Here is a 25,167-nt window from a genome sequence, read left to right on the forward strand (position 1 = left end):
CGAGGTGGGCGGATCTCGAGGTCAGGAGATCGCAACCATCCTGGCTAACACAGTGAAAACCCGTCTCTACTAAAAATACAAAATAAATAAATAAATAAAAATAAATAAGCCGGGCGTGGTGGCGGGCGCCTATAGTCCCAGCTACTCGGGAGGTTGAGGCAGGAGAATGGCGTGAACCCGGGAGGCGGAGCTTGCAGTGAGCCGAGATCGCGCCACTGCACTCCAGCCTGGCGACAGAGCGAGACTGTGTCTCACAAAAAAAAAAAAAAAAAAAAAAAAGGACTCACCTAAGAAGATGCCATATTCACGACAACCTCAGTGTTCATTTGATTTCTCACTGATTCATTTGTGAATATTGGATATTTTGTTAACTAACTGACCGAGTCTTGCGGGCAGTGGCCTCGGCGGCCTTGTTGCTCATTTATTCGTGGTGTGATTTACTTGCTGGTCAGTAAGACTGGAGCCTGACCATCTACCTGCACTAACCTCAAGAATGTGGAGCAGACAGATGCATTTCCAGATAAAACGAACCTAAGCACTCTAAAATCCATGAATAAAAGGAACAACATTGGTTTTAAAAGGGCTACAGAAAACCATGCTGGATAAATAATAATTGCATACATGAACCGGTCAATCATTATTTGTCGAGCACCTACCCTATCTGAGGCACTGTGCAGAGGAAGTTTGGATGATTTAGAAAAAGTGAAATATATCACTGAGAGAATTAAAGGGCAAGGGCAAGATCTTGGTCATCTTTTATCTTCTGCGCACTGCCTGGGAGGAGATGGGTGAGGCTGTGGACAGAAGGAGAAGTTGAGATACAAAGAGAAACACTAGTGAGAGCAATTCCTGGCCCTTTGTTTCCGACTGCAGACCAGAGCTTTTCTGCAGAAATGTAATATCAACCATATGGCTCATTTTTTTGCCATACATATAATTTTAAGTGTTCTAGAGGTCACATTTTAAAAAGCAAAAAAGATAAAGTAAAATTATTTTGAAATTTTAATTTAACCAAATGTATTCAAAATATTTTTTTTAATTCTTTTTCTTTCTTTCTTTCTTTTTTTTTTTTTTTTTTTAGAGATAAGGTTTCACTATGTTGCCCAGGCTAGTCTCAAACTCCTGGCCTCATGGGCTCCTCTCACCTTGGCCTCCCGACGTGCTGGGATTATAGCCATGAGCCGAAACAAGTGGGCAAAATATTGCTTCGACATGCACAGGAACCAGATTTTAGCTGTTTGATAGCCCCCTGAGGCTCATGCCCACCAGACCGGAAACAGTAACTACAGATATTGACTCTGATTTCTTTCATGGGAATGTTCAGAAAAAAAAAAAAAAAAGACCAACAAATAAACAGATAAGCAGACAAAAATTGGTGTGAACCAGTGTATAGAGGAGGCATGGAGAATGGGCTGCAGCGCCTGGGGCAGGGGCTCCCAGCAGACAGGCAGAACCAGGGGAGGCTTCTGGAGAGACCCCTGAGGCAGGCAGGACTTTCCAGGTCAGCAGGGGCCCGTGCAGGAAAGGAGGCAGAGAGCAGTGTGAGACTCAAGCAGGGCTGGCCATTCAAAGAGCTGTCCAGGTACCATGAAGGAAAACTGGAGAAGGAGGAAACTGTCAGAGCCCAAGGAGCCTCTGCAGCCAGGCTCCTGAAATTTGGATTGCATCTTTGGGCTGTGGGGAGTGTTCCTGGTGGACTGGTTTCTGGCTCCCGCACCACGGCAGTCTTCTTGAAGACAGGCTCACAGCTGGCCATCTTTCTGTCCTGGCTGATGCTAACTACATGCTCTACTCCAGTTTAGCTCTTGATGTGACTCCACTTCCAAGAAGGATGAGAGCTGAGAACTTGGATGGATTCTAAGCATCTTATTGTGTGTCCATGATAGCACTGCAGCTTCCTGCGGTGAATGAAGGTGCTAAAGATGTGAGCCACCATGAGGAATTCTCTCTGACCTCTGTCCTTCCACAGGCTAAGGCTGGCATGGAGAGAAGTGCTTTTAAAAGGCACTGGTCAGGCATCAAGCCTACCTCCTGTTCTCTCTGTGGATCTCCCTAGACTTCTGCTTCCTGGAGACTTAGCAGGTTATGCTGGCCTGGAGGTATTCCTGCTGGGATCTCTTCCACCATGAGACAACCCATGGTCAAGTTGCCTACCTCAGCATCTAAGCAATGGGCAAATTCCTTAAGCTACCAGGCCCACTGTTTCTCAGCACTTGTGCTCCCAAAGTGGCATTTCCTCTGAAGTAGAGTGCTTTAGAAAAAAAGTGGAGGCAGGCTCAACCACGAACCTGGGGAAATAGGAAATATGGACTGTTGCGGTGTAAGGCCACAGCTCACATAAGAGGAGCTCACATCTTTGCATCTGTGGTTCTCAAACTGGGCTTTGTATTAAAATCATCTGGGAACTTTAAAAACATATGGACACCCAGGGTCTACCTTGGATCAATTAAATCAGAATCCCTTGGGGGTGCCGAGGGAAAAGCCCCTGAACACCACTGGTTTTGTTTGTTTGTTTTTGTTTTTTCAAATCTCCCAGGTGATTCTAATGAATAGCTAGAATTGCGAGAGACCTCTGCTTTCTATGTTGGGGTTAGTTCACAGGAGGCCAACTAGACTGGGGTGTCGGCCAAAGGCTCATGGTAATTAAGAGCATGCATTTGCCTGACCTCGTCCCTTAGTGCAACTCTCGTGGGCATCTTGAGGGGATGATAAGAAGCAAGACAAGAATAGCCAGCACAGTGCTGGGCCCAACCCATCAGGGACGCACATGTGGAACTCTTAGAACACAGTCACAGACATGCAGGGAGAAACTGAGGGCCCTGGGACATGGGTGAGAAAGTCACAGCCATGATTTTGATGAAGAATAATGCAGACCAGAATTATCCGAGGATTAGATGATGTGTTGCTTGTTTTTGTTGAAATGAGAGTATTGCAAATAATGGATTAGGTTGATACCATTTGTTTGTTAATTTGTTTTGGATAGTAAACCCTGATTTAGGAAATGTTCACATAAGAAATAAGGCAAATACTTATGATTCCTGACTTCTCCTTCATGTTTTGATAGCAATTTGATTTGATTTTAAAATTGACATATTAGTGGCCGGGCGCGGTGGCTCACGCCTGTAATCCCAGCACTTTGGGAGGCCGAGGCGGGCGGATCACGAGGTCAGGAGATCGAGACCATCCCGGCTAAAACGGTGAAACCCCGTGTCTACTAAAAATACAAAAAATTAGCCGGGCGTAGTGGCGGGCGCCTGTAGTCCCAGCTACTCGGGAGGCTGAGGCAGGAGAATGGCGTGAACCCGGGAGGCGGAGCTTGCAGTGAGCCGAGATCCCGCCACTGCACTCCAGCCTGGGCGACAGAGCGAGACTCCATCTCAAAAAAAAAAAAAAAAAAAAAAAATTGACATATTAGTTTCACGCTATTCCCATCAGTACGGTCTTAGAGACTAGGGCTAGTTTCGTTGTTCTTTATTCACTGTTAAGGAAAAGGAGCTTGAGACAGCGGTGCTGAACTGAGCGCACTGAGGTTACACAGTTAATGTTTAAGCCTGGACATGAGCTACATTCTTGTTTCTTCTTCCTTGGTGTTTTAAAAATTCTAATGGCCCACGGACACCCACAGATAACCCTCTCTCCTCATCATATAACTGAAGGGTGCTGGGTCTGCACAGGTGCTGGGGGATTAACGTCCATTTCCCCCCTGGGCTGTTCTGACCCGGCCATCTAATCACTGTGGAGGCAACTGAGGAACCTTGGAAGAAAACTTGACCATGGGCAAATCACAGAGAACCCTTTTCCCAGTGGAAAAAGCTCCAGATCTTTTCCTTCCTAGCCCACTAAGAAAATCTTCTCAAATCTCCTCAAATTCCACAGTGACAAAGGCTGCATGCTTCTGAATGGGGCCCTACATGCAAGGAACATTCAGGAAAACCTGTGAATGCAGCATCACAAAGTTCTGTCTCAGCAGCTGCACTGCTTTTGCCCTGGCATTCAGGTGTATCTGGGCACCCGTGGAGACCCAGAGGGTAGGGCAGCCAATGAGGGATGGTAGAGTTGCCATAGTTTCGTTCAACAAGAGCAGGCAAATGCTAGATTAGAGAGGTGACCCTCAGCAGAGCGTGGTGCCTGTAATTCAGATCACCTCCTGGCCTGTACCTGAGCCCTGAGGTGACTTTGAGTGCAATCAATGGACAAATCAAAACTCCAAGAGGTAATTTACTCTCCCCCGTAAGGACCATCAGAAAGAAAAGACTAATGCCTCTAGGATGTTGGGGGATGGGATGTGATAGTAAGTGTGGCAGCAGAAAAGAAGTCCAGGTCCCTGGGTGCATATAGGGCCACCCTCCATAGTCAGAGGCACTGCAGGCACCAGACCCAGAGACCCCTGAGTGGCACCTGTGGCTGGTTTGGGATTGTGCCAGGAGATGTCACCAGACAACAGAAGGAGGAGAGCAAAAAATAACAGCCACCCCAGAAGCCCAGGAGCCCATTCCATGGAGTACATGGGCAGCATGCCCTGGCTTCCCAGAACTATTTGGAAAGGATTTCAGAAGAGCTTCCATTTCCACTGAGTGGGTGAAGGCAGAGCTTGAGAATGCCTTGTCTGGAATCTTCTTCCAATTACTTTAAGCCCTGTGAGGCCACAGCAATGGAGTTTCAAGAAGTAGCCGCAGCTTACATTGTTACTCTCCCAGGGCCACTTGAATTGTGCTAAGTCTCAACTCCTCAAAGTCAAGGTGTGTTTTCAGACATCAGCCTGAGATGCTCAGGTGAATATTATCAGCCGCAGGGATTTCTGGGAAAGAATATTTCTTAAGTGTTTAAAATCACATCTCATAAATAGTTTCCTGCTTCGCTTGCATGTAACACCAACATTATTCGTGCCACGCACAGCTCAATGCCCAAGGCTGTGTCATAAGACAAAAACCTGGGTTCTAATTCTGGCCCTGCCACTTACTAGCTCAACCACCAAAAGGCAAATTTTGGAGTTGTTTTGTTGATGTTCCTTTGCTTTTGTTTGTTTTATAAACTTCTTTGAAGCTGTTTCATCATCTCCAAAATCATGATAATGATCGATGCTTCATGGGGTGTCTGTCGGTTAAAGAGGATGCAGGAAGAGCTGTTGGCATAGGTGCTCCCCAACCCGAGAGATGAGCCCTGCGTCCACTGCACCAGCATCCAGCCATGGACTGCCAAGGAAATCTACACCCTGGCCCCCTTCCCTTGGTGGTCAGCCTGCTGCTGGTGGGCACCCCTCAGGGGCTCAGCCCCTATCCTTCCCCAGGGAAAGCCGGTATCTACCGTCCTCCTAGAAAGGCAGCTGACATGGTTGCAGGTTCTGCGCACTGCATGCTCTGTTCATTTTCTCACCTCTTCTACCCATTATTCCATCTCCCCACACTCTTCCCACTGCTTCTTATTTTTTTGGCAAACGGTGAGATCACACAGGCTTATAGCCCTGGGGGAAGGTATTCCACAGCTGCTTTTGAGCCCCAGCCCTTCCAGCAGCCTGGGCATCTGAGCACAAATTGAACAACATTAATGAGACACCCAATCTCAGCATTTTACTCTCCACTGCTATTCTAAAATCTTCACAAAAAAGTTCAGGTGGTTCTTTTCAAGCTGCCCACACACATGCACACACACCAAGCCTCCCACCCCAGGGCCTGTGGCCGGCTTGTGTGTGAGAAGCCAGCTCGCTCTGGATGTGCGATTCTGCAGTCTGTGAAGGCACAGTGGTAGATTACACAAGAGAATGGCCTTACAGTTTTATAAACTATTTATTAGGCCCGTCCTGGAGAGCTACATCAATATGGCCGTCGGTGAAGCAAAGCAGAAGCTATAAAAATATCATCTATCCCAAACAAGCTTCATAATCAAACAAAGCCCCGTGCTGGCTGGGACAGGCTTGTGTTCTGACACATAAGGGCCCTTTCCATCTTTAAAACAGACCATTAAAACACCAGAACACTTTGGCTCACAGAAGTCTAAATCAAAAGGGAGGGGAAAAAAGAGAGATCTCTTTTCTCCAAGAGTAATAATGCCTTTTCCAGCTCCTGGAAAAGCTCATTGCGATAGAGATGCAATATTGCTTTTTTCATAGTGGCTTTTCCGTTTCTTTCCAATACCCAGAAAATCTTCTAGGGGTTCAACATTTCCACTTGTTTCCCTCTAGGAATCCCTTTCTTTTTACTCCACGTGTACACAGTAGCTATGCGGCGATCCCTTCAATATTATTTTGTTGTTTTCCCAATAAATAAAGATATACAGTTTGATACATATTCCAGAAGGGAAATCATCATCATAATAATAACCTGAAGTAGAATGTTACCAGCCCAGTACTGTGCTCCAATTCCCCAAGGCAAACGAACACGGGAGGCAGGTCCGTACGCTGGGGTTTACTGTGATTAACATTTCCAGCCAGTGCTCCTCCAATTGGCTCCAAAACATGTCTTAATAAACTGCATTCCAAAAGCCCTTATATTTCCACCTTATTGCATTCTGCTAGAATGAGATATAATATGTGGACGCAAGGAAAAGTGACATTCAGTGAATGAGCTGCAGAGAGTTATATAAGGAAGCTAAATCTCACTCCCTACCACCTGGCATACTGCTTGTGGCTCCTCATCATGATTCTAGAAATCAGTCTGCAACTAAAATTCATGCATGGGGATGCTCTGCTTTGGACCGTGGGCTGGGGAAGAGAGGTGTGATATGCTTTTGAGAGGGCAGAAGGCAAAAGAGAGGAAGAAGGGCTGCAGAGGTGGTTGGTCCACTCAGAGTTGCACTCCCATGGCAAGGTGCTCCATAAAGAAGTCTGAGAATGGAGATATGCAGAACTGAGTCACTCAGAGCTAGGCAGATAATCCAGCACCTCAGTCTGGGAGAAGTTTTCTATGACATTTTGATTGTTTTTAGATCTGGGTAGAATTTTTGGACAAGAAGAAGAGACACGGGATGGACTGCAGAGCCTGAGCAGACACATGCAAAGGACAGTCACGGCACCCCACGCTCTTTCCCTATCCCCCATTTTCAACCTTTATTTTCTTTCCATCATCCTGGAGATGCACACCCTCTGTGACCTAGGAGGTTGCATAGAGAGGAAAAAATAGTATCTGTGATCACATTTTCTTGTATTTACAAAACACAAGAAAGTACATTGACGGCGAAGTCCATGAGCCCTGAGGAAATGTGAATAGCTTTCAGACTGAAGAGTATTCACCCTGAGTATATGCCTGATAGGTAATTCTTAGAGGTGTGGGGGCCATTCAAGTAATTGGCAGTAAATGCTGGCTACTAAGTAATAAATAACTAAATGTGTAGCATCTCTCCTTCCCATCTGAGCCCTGCACGTGCCACGGAGAATCAAACACATGACAGAGAGTAAACGGATCTGAGTTCTGGACTCAGCCCACACATGGTCACCTTCAGCATCTCAGTCAAGTCAGTGACACTGTCTGGTTCCAATTTACCCCAAAGAAGAAAGGATCAAGGCTGAGATACATCACACAACAGTGATCTTAAGGTCTGATCTGGAAGAGAAACCCACACAGTAAATCCACTAGCACACAGGTGCCCATTAGGGCTTGAAGACGCAGGTGACAGATCTTGGTTGAAGAGTCTGCTCTCTTTGAGCATATTACCCTTAACATCCTAAAGAAAAAAAAAAAAGACTTCACACACACACACACACACACACACACACACACACACACACAAAAGCATCCAGATGGTTTACAAAGAAGAAAAATATTGGAGCAGGTCTTTCACTTTCAAACTTCTCTTAGTAGCACAGCTGGATCTTCTGTGTGAGAAGAGTTAAGGGAATCTCAGTGAGAGCTGCTCACAGTGAAAATGATATGATTTTCTGGGATGTGGTGGAAAGAAGCACCGCCTCCCTGAAAAAGTCATCACTGTGGGTCCATGTGGTACCATAGCTTTAGACCACCGAGAAGGATTTTCATCACTGACAACAGCATGAAGCGGTGTTCTGCAGAGGCAAACGGGCACATGCAGAAATGACTCTCACACATCTGCTGGGAGGCAATCACACCCACAGATAGAACAGAGCAGTGGCCTCCCCTGGTGCTTGAGATCAGGGGCTGAAGTCGCAAGGCTATACCAGGAAGAATTCTATCACTGCTGGGCAGCACCTGCCTTCTCCTCCTCTTCAGCTTGAGCCACCTCTTTTCCTTTCCAGTCCTTACTTCATCAATGTGGAGGTGGACCAAGTTGATAAGTTAATGCATAGGGTTAAAGGTCTCTTCATTTGTTGAACAAATATTTCTTAAGAATCTACACTTTTCCAAGAAAATATTAAACATTTCTTCATTGATGAAGAAGATGGACTTCTTCATGAGGAGGTGGACCAAGCTGATAATTTAGGCATCCTGATTCACACCCCCATTTGAAACAACCCACCACACAGCTAATATAATGTGCTATGGCTTCATCACAATTCTATTGACACAAACCAGGTGTGAGGTCTGCGGGATGCCACACCAAAAAGGGTAATGAATTAATATGGACAAAACATGTTTCAAGGGCAAACCTGCAAACAGAAACTTTCTTTTTTTTTTTCTTTCTTTCTTTCTTTCTTTTTTTTTTTTTTTTTTTTTTTTTGAGACTGAGTTTTGCTTTTGTCACCCAGGCTGGAGTGCAGTGGTGCAGTCTCGGCCCACTGCAACCTCCGCCTCCCAGGTTGAAGCAATTCTCCTGCCTCAGCCTCTCTAGTAGCTGGGATTACAGGCACCTGCCACCATGCCCAGCTAATTATTGTATTTTTAGTAGAGATAGGGTTTCACCATGTTGGCCAGGCTGGTCTTGAACTCCTGACCTCAGGCGATCCACCTGCCTCGGCCTCCCAAAGTGCTGGGATTACAGGCATGAGCCACCACACCCAGCCTGCAAACAGAAAGCTTCAAACCCAACTTCTTTCACTAGGGGGATATTTTCATCATGTCACTCAGTAAATAACCAAAGAGTAAAGAACGTCTAGTTAATGCATAGGTTTAAAGATTTCTTCATTTGTTGAGCAAATATTTCTTAAGAATCTACACTTTTCCAAGAAAATACTAAAAATTTCTTCATTGATAGAAGTGGTAAAACTAGGCATTCCAGGAGTCATACAAAGCTAAGGTAGGTAAGCTTACAAAATCCAAGGAAGGCTGGCATTCCAGGCTTTACACCGATCTGAACTTTGATACAGGAGCATAGGCAGGATCTGAAAGTATGGTGGATGACAACTTCCTATTGCAGAATCTGTACTCTTAAGTGTGTAAGGAAATTACAAATAAGCAAAAAGATTACCAAACATCTTCAGGGAAAAACAATGCATTGTTTAGAGCATGCCTTACTGGGTTATTATTTTTTTCAAGTAAAAGCAAGTTTATTAGAGAAGTAAGAATGGCCTAAGAATGGCCGCTCCCTAGACAGAGCACCCCAGAGGGCTGCTGGTTGGCTTGGGTTATTTCATTCTAGATGTTCCTTGCTTCTGAGCTATTTTACTACTCTATAAATTGTAGATAATTGATAGCAATGCAAAATAGTTCTTGTCTAAAGACATACAAATAAATTCTATCTGGTACAGGTTCAGTTGACTTCCCTCAAATTCATAGAAAAAGCCAGTTTTTTGTCCATTTGCAAATCACAGTCAATAGTGCTATATTTCATATACATTTGCACTCCTTTGACTTACATTTTGAAACGAATATAACATCTGCCAGATTTCCTCATTAATGAGTTAAATAAAATATTTAATGATCATCTATTTTTGGTCTATATGAGAATCATGATTTTAGTTTTACTGAAAATTATCCCTTAACAAGTAAAGAGAGATGCTCCATGTATTTAAACTAATAAAGAACATAACATAAACATTAACCGCCATGGAATGTAAAACTGTGTCCGTAAATGATACAGAACTAGGATGATGAATGAAGGACATGTCCTCTGCCTGAATCCGAGTGAAAAATTTCCTTTAGCCACATTTGGGTAACGTTTTCATTGATTTGGCAGAGGGAGGGGATTTCTGGTAGTAATACTCAAAATACACTGTCGTCCTGTCTGTATTTTATTTAGATTGAGGTCTGCAGTTAGCGGTTTATTTGCTTCTGGTGCAGATTCCAGTCATTGTCAGCCCATGATTTGCCTTCACAGTCACCTGAATTAAAAGACTCCGCAGGTACTGTGGAGTGAGGTTCATGATTCTGGAAGCCCGCTCAACAATTACATTACAGACTCTGATCATAGAGGTGATAGAACAGTTTTGCAGTAACTTTTATGGAATGGTGCCTCAATGTACCATAAGCGATAGACACAAAGAAAATGTTAATTTCATTTCTCAGAATTGCATCACCCATTGTCCCTCTGTGCTTTTGTTTTCCTGATGTCTTATACGATGCTTCCAACTCCTGCGTAGAAGCGTGTGGAACTCTGTAATTCGGGAACAAGGCAGATTGACTTTTCTCAGACCCAACTGTGTATTCAATGGGTATATAAATAAAATACATTTTAAGACTGTTTTCTTCTATTTCATAAAAGGTAGACATTATTTGTGATGTCATTGGTAGAAATGAAATTATTATAATTCACTTAGATGTTTGGTTGAAGTTCACTTTTAGTAAATAGGTTAACATAGAATTCATGAGAACCCACACAATAATTTGACGTACAGAGGTAAAATAATAGTTTTTTGGCCTTCAGTTCCCAGGAATTGCTCATAATTGTATCATTGACACTGATCCAAAACTCACATTTATTTTACCATGAACAGTTGCAAACCCATTAACAGTGAACAGTCATACCTCCATGTGCCCCGCCATGCTGCAGGAGCCAAAAGATGGAATGGGACCACTTGGGAAGGATGAATAGGAACTGGCCAAAGACTTCCTTCCAATGGGATTGACAGGTAGGTAGGCTTCTGAGGTCTCTCCTGAAGAAGCTCAAAACAATAATCAAATATCACTTACCTAGGGAAAGACAAAGGGAAAAGGGATAGAGAATAAGGTGGGTTAGAGTTTACTGCAACCACCTTATATTCCACTGAGATTATCTATTTTAAGCAAAGGGATGTTTAGTGCAATGCAAATTATCCACAAGCTCCAAGTAAAACCCAAGTTTTAAATACCCAGGGAAAGGTCAGTTGTGAAAATGGAACTTTGTTGCAAAGGCCATGCACCCTGCTGTTTGTTTTCTTTTCTGTTCTGGCATTCTTATACAGGTGCATTTAACTACTACTAGAACATAGGCCTTGTAACAAGGGACTGATTGGGGACTCTGTGATGTGCCAAGGAAAGGAGAAAAAATGCATACGTCCCAGCTGCCTTAATGATTATGGAGGTTCTGTAGCTATGTGGTTCAGATGCTGAGAAGATTGAACTAATAAAAAAGAAATGAGAGAACTGTCATCACAGATTACATAGTATTTATCCCAAAATCTGTTCATTATAGATATTTGCAAGACAAATGGGTTTTTAGCCAGGAATGGCAGCATTTTCCTCCTGGTAAGTGTATAATGAGGCACCCAATTTGTCTAGAGCATGATCTCTCTCTCTTTTAAAAAACATATGCCTGGCTCTAAATCTTAGTAAAATTCCTGAAAACATCCATTAGGAGGTCAGCAAAAAAAGTTGAATTCGTAGAGTTCTTTACAATTTACAGAGGATTTTCATAGGCACTGTCTCCTTTGATTTTTATGGCAACATTTTACTATGGGTAGAATAGGTATTACTACTGTTCCCTCCTCCCCTTCTTTCTCCAATTTCTCATCCTCTTCCTTCTATTTCTCCCCCTTCTCCTCCTTCTCCCCTTCTTTCTTCTTCATTCCTTCCTGCTTCTCTTCTTACTCCTCCTTCTTCATCTCCTCCTTTTCCTTCTTCTTTATAAGCAACATAGGGCCCAATTTGATTCATCAGCTTGCTCAAAATCACACTCATGTCTAGTGGTAGTTCCAGGGCTTGAATTGTGTTCTTCAGGTTTCATATTGCTTTCTCTTTCTCCCTTGATCAAATCCCAGACACAGTATAAAGATAGCCAAGAAGAAAGATAGGGAGGGAGAGCAGGAGAAAGGAGCAGAGAGGAAATAGATAAATTCAGGAAGAGAGGGATGGTAAAAATAAGGAAGTAAGAAAGACAGAAAATGGTAAAAATCATCAAATATTTGGAGCAAATTCTTCATTAAATAAATATGTTCAAGTAAAGAGCATAGAAAAGTACCTGGCATGTAGAAAACTCCATACAAGTAGTTGCTATTATTCATTTTTTAAAAAATTCTATTGACCCAAGGAAAACTTGACTAGAACAGAGGATGCCATCCCTACAATGGCTCCTCTTGGTCTCTCTGCCTTAACATCAAAACGATACTGGTCAAAGGAATAACTGTGTCAGAGAAATGTCATTCCACAGGGGAAAAAAAACTATAAAGAAAACATTTTTTGATCATGTTTTAATCTCTTGACATGGACAAATGGTTGATTCCTGGCCTGCTCACCAGCAACAACGTACTAGACACTTTGTTGTCTCCCAGTAGCCCCAATGAACCTTGACTTTCTTCTCAGGCAGCTACAAGAGTCTCAAGCTTACTTGACATCTACATTGCATATCAGACTGCTTGTGTGATAACAAAAGCGGCCATAATAAATGTCATAAAACAAGATATGCGCTGGAGGTGCAGAAAGAGGAAACAGTCAACTTTCATATATAACTACAAATTTCTCTGTATTATGGCCATTATTTGACTAGAGAAGGAAGTTCTTAGACCCAGATCAGCAGGAAAAAAAAAAATGAAAGGGGACTTGGTGTAGTATCATAGGGTCATCCTATTTGTAGCTTTTTAATGAAAAGTAATTATAGCCTTATTCAATTATGACCCAAATGCACCTAATCCCCTCATAAATGCTTCTTATTCACCACCCAGCACTTTCTGACACTGCTGGCCAAATAAATGGTGGCTGTTTCTACCTGGGTGATGGCAAGGTTGTTCATTGTAACACTCCATGAAACTTAATTATGCAAAACAAAGAGGCAACTCTGGAGCCATTAATCAGAGGTTTCATTCAGAAGTAATTTGTTGCTGGGACCCAAAGAACTGTTCTTCTGGTTCCTTCCACTGTGCTGCACTAATAGTTAATCCCTGGCTTTAATGGAAGTTGCTGGGGTTGAAGCTCTGAGGCCAATAGTGGCAAAGCAGCTTATGAACATCACCTTGCTTATTAGTGGGCAGACACCTAATTTCTTCTACTTAAGTCACCTTTAATTACAGCAACCAGAAACCAAAACCATCCACAAGTTATCAAGAACAAGTGCCCAATCACTTATTTCCCAATTGCCTAAAGGCAGAACAAGAGAAAATGGGTAGATTATTAAAAGTGAGTTAATACGTATGAGAAAGTGAGACAAGCATACCTGAAATTGACAGAAGAAAATAATTTATACCATCTCTGAATATCTCCAGACAGAACATACTGTACCTAGCTTTTTATTAGGGAGGATTTCAGTATTTCCTCCTAAGTAGATGAAGGGGTCAAATTATTAGGATGACCCTAATTTGGATGGTGCCTGAGGAGCTCCATACTTGTCTGTGATGAAGAGCAGGTGAACGGGAAGAGGAGGAAAGAAGGGATCCCTACCTAGAAAAAATAATTAAATACCGCCACGACCACCACTAACATCAGCACCATCATTAAAGACCTTCAGTGAAGTTGAGGGTCCTTGGTATAAATCTCCATACTGATTCATTCACCCCTTATAAATTACTCCCTGTGCTAATTAAATTCTGGAGACACAAAGATGCACATGCCACGGTCCTTTCTTTCAGTGAGCTCACAGTCAAATGCAGAAGAGCTGCAAAGCAAAGCAGTAGGAACAGCAGTACAGACAGAGGGGAATCACTATGGCAGAACTTAGGAAGAGTTCAGAAGCAGAGCATCAGAAATCATCAAAGGGGAAAAGAAATGAAGGATCATGGAGGTGTAAAGATTAACTGACTGAAAGATTAAGGAGAAAGAGAGTTTTCAAGTAAATAAAGTAGAAAAATGAGAAGAGCTTGGAATGAGGAAAAACCAGCCCCCTGATGCCAAACTGACGTTCATGCTTCTCCCCTGCTGCTCTTGTGTGAACTCTATATTCAAGGCAAGGTGGTCTCCTTTTTTGTCCCCCAAACATCCTTGCTTAGCCCCTCTTCCAAACCTTTGCTTGTGCTTTACCTGTCAGTGATGCATTCCTCTGTATTTTTCCAAATTCTGCCTATTCTTTCAAGGTAAGGGTGCCTCAAGGTCAAGTGATTTGTTTCTTCTACAGCACAGTATTGTCCATATCACTCATGTGTCACCAAATCACAATACTTCCTGATGAGGTGTCTAATTTTAAAAGATGGGAATCGTGTGGTGAGCGGAATAATATCTTCTAAAGATATCAGGCCTTTTCCCTAGAATTTGTAAACATCGTTTTGTATGAGGAGAAGGGGTCTTTGCAGCTATGGTTAAGTTAACATGGAGATGGAGATATTGCCCTGGAATATTTTGGTGGACTCTGAACACCATCACAAGTGTTCCCTTAAGAGGGAGGCAGAGCGTGATTTCATAAAGACAGAAGAGGAGGAAGCAATGCTACCACATAGGCAGAGACTGGATTGGTGCGGGCACAAGCCAAGGCATGTGGGCAGCCGCCAGAAGCTGGAAGAGAGGAGAAAAGGACTCTCCTGAGAGTCTCCAGGAGTACAGCCAGTCAACATGGAGATTTTGGCTCAGTGATACTAATTTTGGACTTCTGGCCTCTGGAACTGTCACAGAATAAATTTATGTTATTTCAAACCACCAGGTTTATGGTAATTGTTAGAGTAGCCATAAGAAACTGACACAGATGTACAGGGTGGCTACACATGCAGAATTTTGTTTATGCTCATCAGCCTAGCAGGATTCTAACAACTCTCCTTTCACTCTCAAAACAGTTCTAGTTTGGTGATAAACTATATAGTCACCCTAGATATGCATGGTATTTTAGTCTTTGTTACATCATCCATGGTACAATTAACACAATCCCATGCCTAGAGTAGGCATGCAATATATAGTTTTTGAAGTACAGAGGAAAAAGTCTGTCATTTTAGAAATAATTTGCTCACAAGCTTTTCTACAAATTTTGGAAACAAGGAATTACTTTGGTGGCTGAAGTAGAGAGAATCTGCTCAGAGATATTTATTGCTTAAAGATGAGGTTTTCAATTTGGTCTCACCACAAAAATACGAATTTGAGGTTTGTTCCAAAATGAATACAGGTCTCAATTCCAGGTTGTATTTTTTTAATTGATAACATTGAGAGCTTTTGTTAGGGATGAGGACATGTTCCATATGTTTAGGTAAATGTGGTTTTAAGTCTTTCTTGGCTTTATTTCAGAAGAAATATCTATGTAAACTTTTTTGATAAAATCGGAGGGGGAAACTGGAAGTCTCACTTAAAATAATTCTTTGACATGCGCTTAGGTAGTGTACCTGGACTCCTTCAGAGTAAATGTCTGCTTGTTTGTTCATATTTATGTGTGGAGGGTGGGGAAACAATCAGACAACAACTTAATTTGGACACTGAACATATACAAGATAGTATGAAGAGGCATTAAAAAAAGTTAACATAATTTCAGCCAATGACATCTTCTGGATCCATAGTCAGAAACTATATGGACTCAAATTACAAATACCCATGAATGTGAATTACTATATACTAGGCACTGGAAAATGTAAAAAGTAGAATATTTAGTCCACATACGTAATTTTGTTGGAGACATAAAAAGCTTGGAAAGACATAGAAGATGTTAATCAATCCAAGGTCAATGCAAGACTTTATTGTGCTAAGTTACATGATTCTGACTATAAGTGTCAGAAAAATTAGGAGAAGGAAGAGTCCATTGTGAGCTAAGATAACTGCTAAAAGCTTCTGATATGGCTTGGCTCTGTGTCCCCACCCAGATCTCACCTTGAATTGTAATCTCCATAATCCCCTCATTTCCAGGGCAGGACCAGGTGGAGGTAATTGAATCACAGGGGCGGTTCCCCCATGCTGTTCTCATGATAGTGAGTTCTCGGGAGATCTGTTGGTTTTGTAAGCATCTGTCATTTCCCCTGCCGGCTCTCATTCTCTCTCCTGCCACCCTGTGAAGAGGTGCCTTCCACCATGATTGTAAGTTTCCTGAGGCCTTCCCTGCCATGTGGAACTGTGAGTCAATTAAATCTCATTCCTTTATAAATTACCCAGCCTCGGGTATTTCTTCATAGCAAAGTGAGAACGGACTAATTCAGCTTCATACAGAGAAGCGAAATGACCTGGTGTGTGAACACATGTAGGATTCACACTGGCATTCAAAGGGCAGGTGGGGTGGTGGGCAAGGCTACTTCAGGTAACAGTATATGACAGAAATTTCACATGGCACGTGCAAGGAGCACCACACAACACCTTTGTCTCAGCATTAACTACTGCATTTGGTTTAAAATACATGTTATAATATTTCTGAAACCTCATATATCTTAGAACTCATTCCTCCCTATTCCTCGAGGTAACGTGAAAATTTCAACCTATCCTCTGAATCTAAATTCTTATGAATTGAGCTGATTAGAAGAGATTCTCACAATTTAAAGAGATGTTACATATTGGGATGTAGTGATGCAAATTCATTTAAATAAATTTAATTAAGAAAGATCACACAAACCTCTTCCTTTCTCTAATGCTACTGAATTAAATCAACATAGGAATGATTAATTTGACAACATACTAAAATGCCAAGATTTTCCATTGACTAACACTCTTCACGAACTAATTGTGTTTGGATATCGGTTATTGAGCAAAATACCTGAATATTGGATGACTTAGGCTGATCGTGGTTATGAAATATTTGCAAATAAATAAGCATTGTGAAGTAAGTGAAAAATATCTGGAAAGAAAATGCAGCCCAAAAGTAAATACACTGACGTATGTTTTTAGATAATGAAGTTGGAGCAAAAGAGGGAAAATATGAGCCCCCCTGGTGCACAGGAAAGACAATTAAGACACAGAAATGGAGGTTGGCATAAGGGAAGAGCAGCACTTCAAAAGTATTTAAGCATGTAGATCCAATTTCCTTACCAGGAGGCAATCATACGCATTGCATGAGAAGAGAAACTCTAACAAAAATGTGCCTTATCACTTGCTTTCTACCTTCATCTACCTACTGCACAACAGAATGCAAATGGTAAACTAGAAGGTTTCATGACTGCTAATTGCTGAGTCTGCTATTCATTGCGGTTGGCCTGTTGGTTCATCAGTGTTTCACTAAATAATAGAGCGAGAAAGTCTAGCAACAAAACAAAGAACACCTGGATTCTATTAATAACTTGCATCACAATGGATATTTGAATCCGGTCTGATGTCGAATGAGACTTGCATAAAATATGCTACCATATGTGTTCTAAGATTGACCTTGGCCTATTACTGAGGGTACGTTATTGATAAACTGATGTTAGTCATTTACTAGTTAGCACAAATTAATAATGAGAGAGCAGCTTGAAATGTGGGGATGATGAGAACTCCAGAAAGTTTGTAGAAACAAAAAAAAAGGTGGAAGACACTGTTGAATAGAAAAAAAGTTGCAGAATAGGGTCACCTAGGGCAAATGATGCACACACACAGCAAGTGTCTCTGTGTTATCCATTCCATGCTGTCAGAGCAAAGAATGGAAGCCTGAAAACTATACTGCTATCATTCTATGTTTTTGGTTGTAGATTTAAACTTTAATAACTACTGGAACACTTAATGTGAAAATTACTCTTCCTAAGTCAAGTTTATGTGTCATATTTTTAACTGATAGAATTGATAAATTTGCGTACTGTCCTTTCTATTTTACAAGGCTCTTTGAAATTTAGAGATGTTCGCACAAGGGAATACAGTGCTCTACATGACTGAATCCACAAGGGAGGTAAGCGTCTACTGCCAACAGCTCTAGCATGGGTAGGCCCATAAATGCAGCAAACGTCTGCTGGGACATGAAGCTTACATTCACTATAACGTAGCCCCTTAATTGTAGGATAACAATAAGAGGGATGCAAGGTATCTGAATAATCACATATAACATTTATGGAGCTCAGCTTCTTGGCCCGTTTCCTTCTTAAAATACAAAAGACCTGACAGGCCTGGAGGACAGAATAAACTTAGTAAACAGCAGACACTATGCTAAGCACTTCACAACGATTCCATGAACTGGGACCTGTTATGCCTTCCATTTTACAGATGCAAAAGCAATGCCAGAGAAAGGATGCAATTTCAGCTCCACAACGTGTGCTTGGATACCACCATGTGCTTGGCCATTCTATGCCGATGCCTTCTTGAACTCTTGGCCTCCCAAGTGCTAAGGTTACAGACACGAGCCCCTGCTCCCATACCCAATGCCTTCTTGAAGCAAAAGTGTGAAAACATGGAATATCCCAAGCGTCTGGGCCAAGATGAAGGAAGGTACCCTAAAAATCCCTGAATATGGCAGGAGAATTGATTAAGGGACACAAATGTTGCCATGGAAAGTAAACAACTAATGCCCAGTATCTTGGCCCACATACCTTAACCACCACGTAACCCCTTCCTTTTCAAAAACACTTTTGAGGGATTTTTCCTTATGAAAATGAATTTCAAATTATGAAATTGAGTTGATACAAAAGTAAAATTCATTCACAACAATTTGCTGTATAGTCAAATATCTTGAATTCTATCTTAAGTGTAAAAAGACCCACCTACACCAAGATATGAACTATAGGAACTACAGTCTCAAAACTGCAACTCAGATGGAGTAAGCAACGCCCCTGCCCTGCAGCTTTTCATGCAGAGAGTGATAAGCAGAGTCTGATTCCTAACTTCATTCTCCCTCATTACAATCACTATCTCTTTCTCCTATTCCTATCAAAGGAGAAAAAAAACCTTTCTCTTAATATTTATCTCACAGAGATGTTGTGAGTATTACATAAGATAGCAGACACGAAGCAGGCACAGTGACTGTCTTAGAGGGATGTAATGAACACTTATTATTATAAGGTTCTTCAGATTCATGGGCTTCCCCCCTGTACCCCTCTCCAAGGACGACCACAGCAACATGAGGATGTCAACACTGGAAAAGGATGACTGACTCACAAGTATTTTCATTGCATGTGGAAATAGACCAAGCCCTGTGGGAGGTTAAAGAGCCTTCCCTTCAGCTAAGAACACAGAGAACTCAAATAAACATATCATAAAATACAGGAAGTCTGACTGTGAGAATTATTTAAGTGCCTTGCACATGGATATGTAGTTACGTTTAATTAAATCAATAGCTTTAAGTGATTGCCTATTACAGCCATGCTTATCATTCTCCCTAATCTGTTTTCTAAGGCCAAATTTTGCCACCCTTTTCTCTCATATTTCCTGATGTATAGATTTACATTAGGGTTCCCCTCCACCCCATTTATGTAGACCAGCATCTGCTCTCTTCTTCCCTGAATAATTAATAACTATGCATGTTCCCAGAGCATCCTGGGACCTCCTTCCGCAGGCGTTCCCTCAGAGCAGAAGTCTTTTTCTGTTGATCATAGGCAGTTCATCTTAGAATTACACAAGTGGGAGCCAAGATCAATGGCAACCTGATTTACAGCAGCTCTTACCAACAGCTTGTGGAAATTAGAAATAAATATGGGGTCAAACGACTCACCAGTAATTTGACATTGGTAAATCTGGCTTATTTAGAAGTCTTAAATAATAAGGACCTTCACATCGTTATTTCAACTGAAAGAACGTCAGTGCTTTGCCTTAAGAGCCTTTGAAAGCTGAAAAGGTGATTTAAGGTATATTACCATTAGAAGTACTTTTCTATTATCTTAAGTATTGCAATGCATCTGAATTGGTAGCACAGTAGTGTAACCATTCACAGCCCTAACTGGCATACATCAGTAGAAAGACCCATAGAAGAACTGCCCTTGGTCCTGAAATCATGAGTGCAGCCCAGCTCCGTGTTTCTGTTTTCAGGTTGTATTACAAGTCAACAAAACAGGTGTCTGTGTTTCTGAGTACTCTGGAAATACCATAATGACGCAGCAAAATACCACAACAAAGTAATTCAGAAGCTTCATGGATTAAATGAGACAGAAGCAATGCAAAATATCAAACAATGACAATGTCATAACCAAATATACTATTTTAAGAATACTATGGTGCTTAATTTTGAATAATGATTTGACGCGGTCACTCTAAAATTGACATTGGTTTCAATTTACAAAGGAAAATCTCTTGTCTTGGAATAGGTATAAAATATGAGTTTTGAACATATGGGGCAACTTAGCAGAGGCAGCAGTATATATGTGTGAGATGTAGTCTCCACATTCTGCAAAAGTTGTACTGTGATAACAATGACAAGACTGAAAATGTTATATAACTGTACCAAAATCTGATAAAATGTGAAAACAGCTCTCAAGGGGGCAATGTAGTCCATCTCACCTTCTAAGAGTTCAGTTAAATGATGAAGGGGTTGAAAGTGTGGACCCAGTTTTGAAATAGCACAGGGAAAGACATTCTACAAATTGATGTGGTTCATAATTTGCCTGACATAAGAGCTACTCTTCATGCCTAGCAAAAATTTTCCATGCCAGAATCTGATTCTGTTTCTTCTTCTGGTTTTATCCTTAACCAAGACACATACAGCTGGCCATGTAATAGGTATCATACAATTGAAAATTGCCTGATCAACTTCAGGGCAGTATCTGTGTGGTTAGTAGATAACCCTGTACCACGAATGTAGTGGATAAGTTATGACATCTTTAAGAAACATTCAATAACTTGGTAATATGATACAGACTTGAGGCTGGACGGTCATGGTCACCTCTGCTCTCCTCTACCTCCCTCCGCTGTTCCTCCCCTCCTTCCCTCATGGAATTTCATAGGCATAGCACTTCACAACATTTATACATCCATTTCGAAAGTAAAAGTAAATGAATGTCAGAGGCAGCAACATAGGTGGTAGTCAAAGCTAGGGAAAATGAGAAGCAAAGAGAAGGAAGTGGCATAAGAGATGAAATTCAATTCCCTAGTTTTTAGACAGGAAGAATCTATGTCTCAAGAAGATGAAATGGCATGATAGGGGTTATGTAGCTGGTCATGCATATGGCCAAAAGCAGAATGAATCTTCTAGTTTTGATTTCTACGTCCTTTCTGCTGTATTATGTTACAAAATATGTTTATACACATTTTACAGTGTACATAATACATATATAAAAGAGTACCCACGGAAAAGACTAATGTAGACAAAATTTGTTTTTCTGCACTGCACTTGCCCTTTCTTTTTCTTTTGGCTGTCCCCATGACCATGATGAACACACTGTTATCCTTCCTGACTCAGGTCAAACATCAGCTGTTCTGACCCTCCATATTAGACCCAACCCAGGGAAGGAGACTGGGGCAAGAGCAACAGCAGCAACTTAGGTTTTAGATGTTCTTATCAAGTAGCAAACTGGGATTGAACTCAGGTGCGTTTTGATTCCAATATCTGCAACATTAACTGTGCCACATTCACAGTGGAAGTTTAACAAAGATGACCTTCAAAAAGTGCTTGATCCATGGTAGACAAGCAACCAATCTTATTTATGCTTTCTCTTGTTTCCAAGTTTTTTTTTTTTAAATTTTACCTCCCAAGCAAGTTATCACTGACTTACTACTCTCAGAGTAATTTTATTAATCAAAAGTTGTATACCTTTTTTTTTAAGTCAATGAACATATATGGAGTTCTGAATCATGTTTAGTGTAAGAGCTAGAAATCTAACAATGAAAAGACGAGATAAGAGCCAGATTGTGAAGAACTTTATATGCAATACCAAACACTTGAGCCTTTGTCTTATGGGCTCAAGGGAGATATGGAGAATATTAAGCAGTAGAGCAATAGAATCTGATCTTTATTTTAAGTGAATAAACCTGACTACCATGTGAAAAATGTATCCAAGGTGAACAAAAATCACCAGCAATACCTGTTTCAGTGGTTTAACCAGCAGATAAAGAAGTCTTAGTTTATACCATAGACTCTTAGAGGAAGGAAAACAAAAAGAACTGTACACCAACATTGTACTTTAGTTTTTTTTTCCTTATAGGATTAAGGATTACACAAGTATGAAACAACCTAACTTAATATTAGGGTTAAATAAAGAAAGAAATTATAGATAATCAATGCCAGATTTCTTACTTGGAGAAAGAGGATTCAAATAAGAAAAGGAGAGGTGACTAGAATAAACCCTGTGGAGCTGAGTAGAGTCAAAGCTATCAATATGGACTCATGGGATTTAAAAATATACTGCAGATATATGGAAAGGTAGAACAATAGATAGATACAGCTGTGTTTCTGTATGAGTTAGTCCACATCCGTACATTTCCCAGCCCCATTCACTCAGAGAAACTAGATGCAGTTAACCCACAGTAACAATGAGCACACCCAGCACCAAGATCTTGGTTTCTAAATACCATTCATCAGTACAAAAAAACAAATACCATTCATCAATACAGATAACAAGGCCTGGCAGAGTTCAGGATTAAGAATGGAAAAATGTGAGTCTGTAGCACATTTTGGTGCTGAAAAGTATAAAAGCAATCTTTAAAAAAGAGAGATGTGTAACATTAAAACACCAAAGAGCCAACTTCAAAGAGTTCACAATAACTAAAATTGGAGCAACTTGAAAAGTGAAAAAATAGCAAAGATTAAAATAACATCCATGAGTTCACATTGATATAAACGAATAAGTGAACACTTAAATAAATGGAGGAGTAGACCATTCTTCCTTGAAGGAGAATTCCAATTAACAAACATAGAAAGAATGGGAGAAACAGAAAAGCACCATTAGAAGTTTACAGTAATGATTGCTTCAGACAAGAACCACTGATGAATACTCAAAAAAATGGGCAGAAGTTTAAGCAGAAACAAGATACATTTCTCTCTACAAATATTTACAAAGGGAATAAAGTAACTGTGCAATGAAGAATTCTGGCAGATACTGCATTCACCAAGGGATCAGGGATAACATCACCAGTGAGGAACACATGTCAATCTCATATACCAGCTGCTGTCATGAACTGTGAAGGGCACAAGATCTCTTTCGTGTCCTTCCCAATAATTTATAATCTCATACTAATCATCATGAGAAAACATCAGTTAAATCCCAATTGTGGAATATTGTACAAAGCAATGAACCAGTACTCTGAAAGTGTCAAGGTCACAAAAGACAAGCAAAGACTAAAAACCTGTCACAGATTGGAGAATACTAAATGCAGAAGAAGACACGACAACTAAATGCAATGTGGGATCCTGGATTGAATCTTGTGACAGAAAACAGAACTGAACATGGCATTTATGGGAAAATGGTTAACATTCTAATATGTTCTGTAGATTAGTTAACAGGATTGTGCCAAGGTTAATTTCTTAGTTTTGATAATTATTCTATGGTTATATAGAATGTTGACATGAGGAGAAACTGGAGGAAAAGTGTATGGGACCTCTGAATGTTCTCCAGAATAAAGGTTAAGCAAACTTGTAGACAGTGGAACTGGAGATGGATAGAGGACAGGGGAGCAGAATCCATAAGACCAGTGATAGATGAGATGATGAGTGCTTACTGACCCAAGGATGAGTGATGTCTATTGGTGGGGAAGTCAGGTGGGAATGCAATGCTTGAAGGGCAATGAGGACTTCATTCTGGCACATGCTGACTTTGAGGTGCTTCTGGGACATCCAGATGGACATGCAAATGAGGCCGTTTGATAAATGTGTCTAGAGTACGAGAGAGATGTAAATTGGAAATATAAATTGTGAAGTAGTCAGCATCTAGAAATTTGTTAGAGACACGAAGATGGATAAAATCGTAGAGAAAGAACCTGAATGATGAAGAGAAAGGAGTCTGGAGGGTGAAACTGAAATTTAACTCTTGTTCGCACAAATCTGATTTCACAAACTTTTGTGGAAAAGGGGTATGGCTTACTCATTTTTGTAGTGATACAACTTAGTATTTGCCTGGAAAATGACATGGGCCCATAAATGTGTACTGAACATATGTTTGCATGCACAAATTAATGAAGAAATGAATCTCTCTCCTTGGACGTGGGGATTATATGGAAGTTTCAGTCTCTCTCTATGCATATTTCAGTCTGTCAGCTCAGCTCATGATGCTTGAATCTCAGATTTTATTTAAAAGGCATTTCCCTTAGTTTAAAAATCTAGGTAATTGGCAGAATGGATACCTCAAAGCAAGTTATACTTTATGGCATAAGGTCAGGTGATATATATTCCCCTCACCATTTCTTAGAGAATGGTAAAATCATCAACAGTCTTATTTTCTTTTTAATGTGGAAAATGCTTTTTTGGGCCCTGTACTTTCCCAGCAGGCCGTTTCCAGAACAAAGAGGGGCTCACTTCAGTCCCCTTTTATAATTATTGCTAAATGCCCAAGCACTATCCTTCCCTGGAAGGACTGTTCCCACCCAGGGTTCAGGTGGAATGAGTCAACCCACCTTAAGTGAGAATCCTCAGCCTGAAATCCTGGCTCAAATAGAAAACAGCATCTCACTCTCACCTACAAGTCCTCACACAATGTGGAGTTCCTGCCTTGTGCTACCCAGCACTTCCAGGTAACACTGCGTGCTATGCAAATATTCTGCTAACATACTTTGCTTTGTTCTGGAAAACAGTGAAATATAATGATATTTTAAAAGATGAGTGGCTGCTGAAATCCCCATAACATTGCACTATTTGAGAAAATAGAGCTTACCTGAATATTTTAGGCTTAACAATTGCCAACCAGATGGCAGGCAGCAATATAAAAGGTATTACAAAGCTCCAACTCCTTATGTGTGTCATTTAGTAGGATATTGTACTCAGAATCCTGTTTCATCACTGTTGTGTTAGTTACTCCCCTCACCACCTTTCAGCTTTCTTTTCTCATGCCAACACTTCAGGGAAAAACATCATTTTAAAGCATTGCTTTGGATTTCTAATTCATTATCTTCATGTTTATTGGCATTTTCCTTGAAGCTCTTCTAGGGGTAGAAATTAGGGAAGAGAGGTGGTTTACTAGGAGGGCAAAAGATGTGAGTTCAGAAGAAGAGATGCAGAACACACTTATTCTTCTTGTTATGCAACATAACAGCTTTTCCTCCAGTTTGT

At 41.0% G+C, this 25,167-nt stretch overlaps 1 protein-coding gene across 4 annotated transcripts in view; it reads right to left on the reverse strand.

The window, feature by feature from the left end:
• OPCML (opioid binding protein/cell adhesion molecule like) overlaps positions 1 to 25,167 on the reverse strand; it is a 1,117,521-nt gene that overhangs the window by 871,235 nt on the left and 221,119 nt on the right. Inside the window, exon 1 of one of the 4 annotated variants that reach the window (XM_047427032.1) lies at positions 10,809 to 10,963. The exons of the other annotated variants lie outside the window; for them this stretch is intronic. The gene's annotated coding sequence lies outside the window, so the exon portion shown is untranslated. Of the gene's footprint in view, positions 1 to 10,808; positions 10,964 to 25,167 lie in introns of those variants that run through there. 4 annotated transcript variants of the gene reach the window in all.

Source organism: Homo sapiens, chromosome 11 (genome assembly GCF_000001405.40).
Source record: "Homo sapiens chromosome 11, GRCh38.p14 Primary Assembly".
Lineage (NCBI taxonomy): Eukaryota > Metazoa > Chordata > Mammalia > Primates > Hominidae > Homo > Homo sapiens.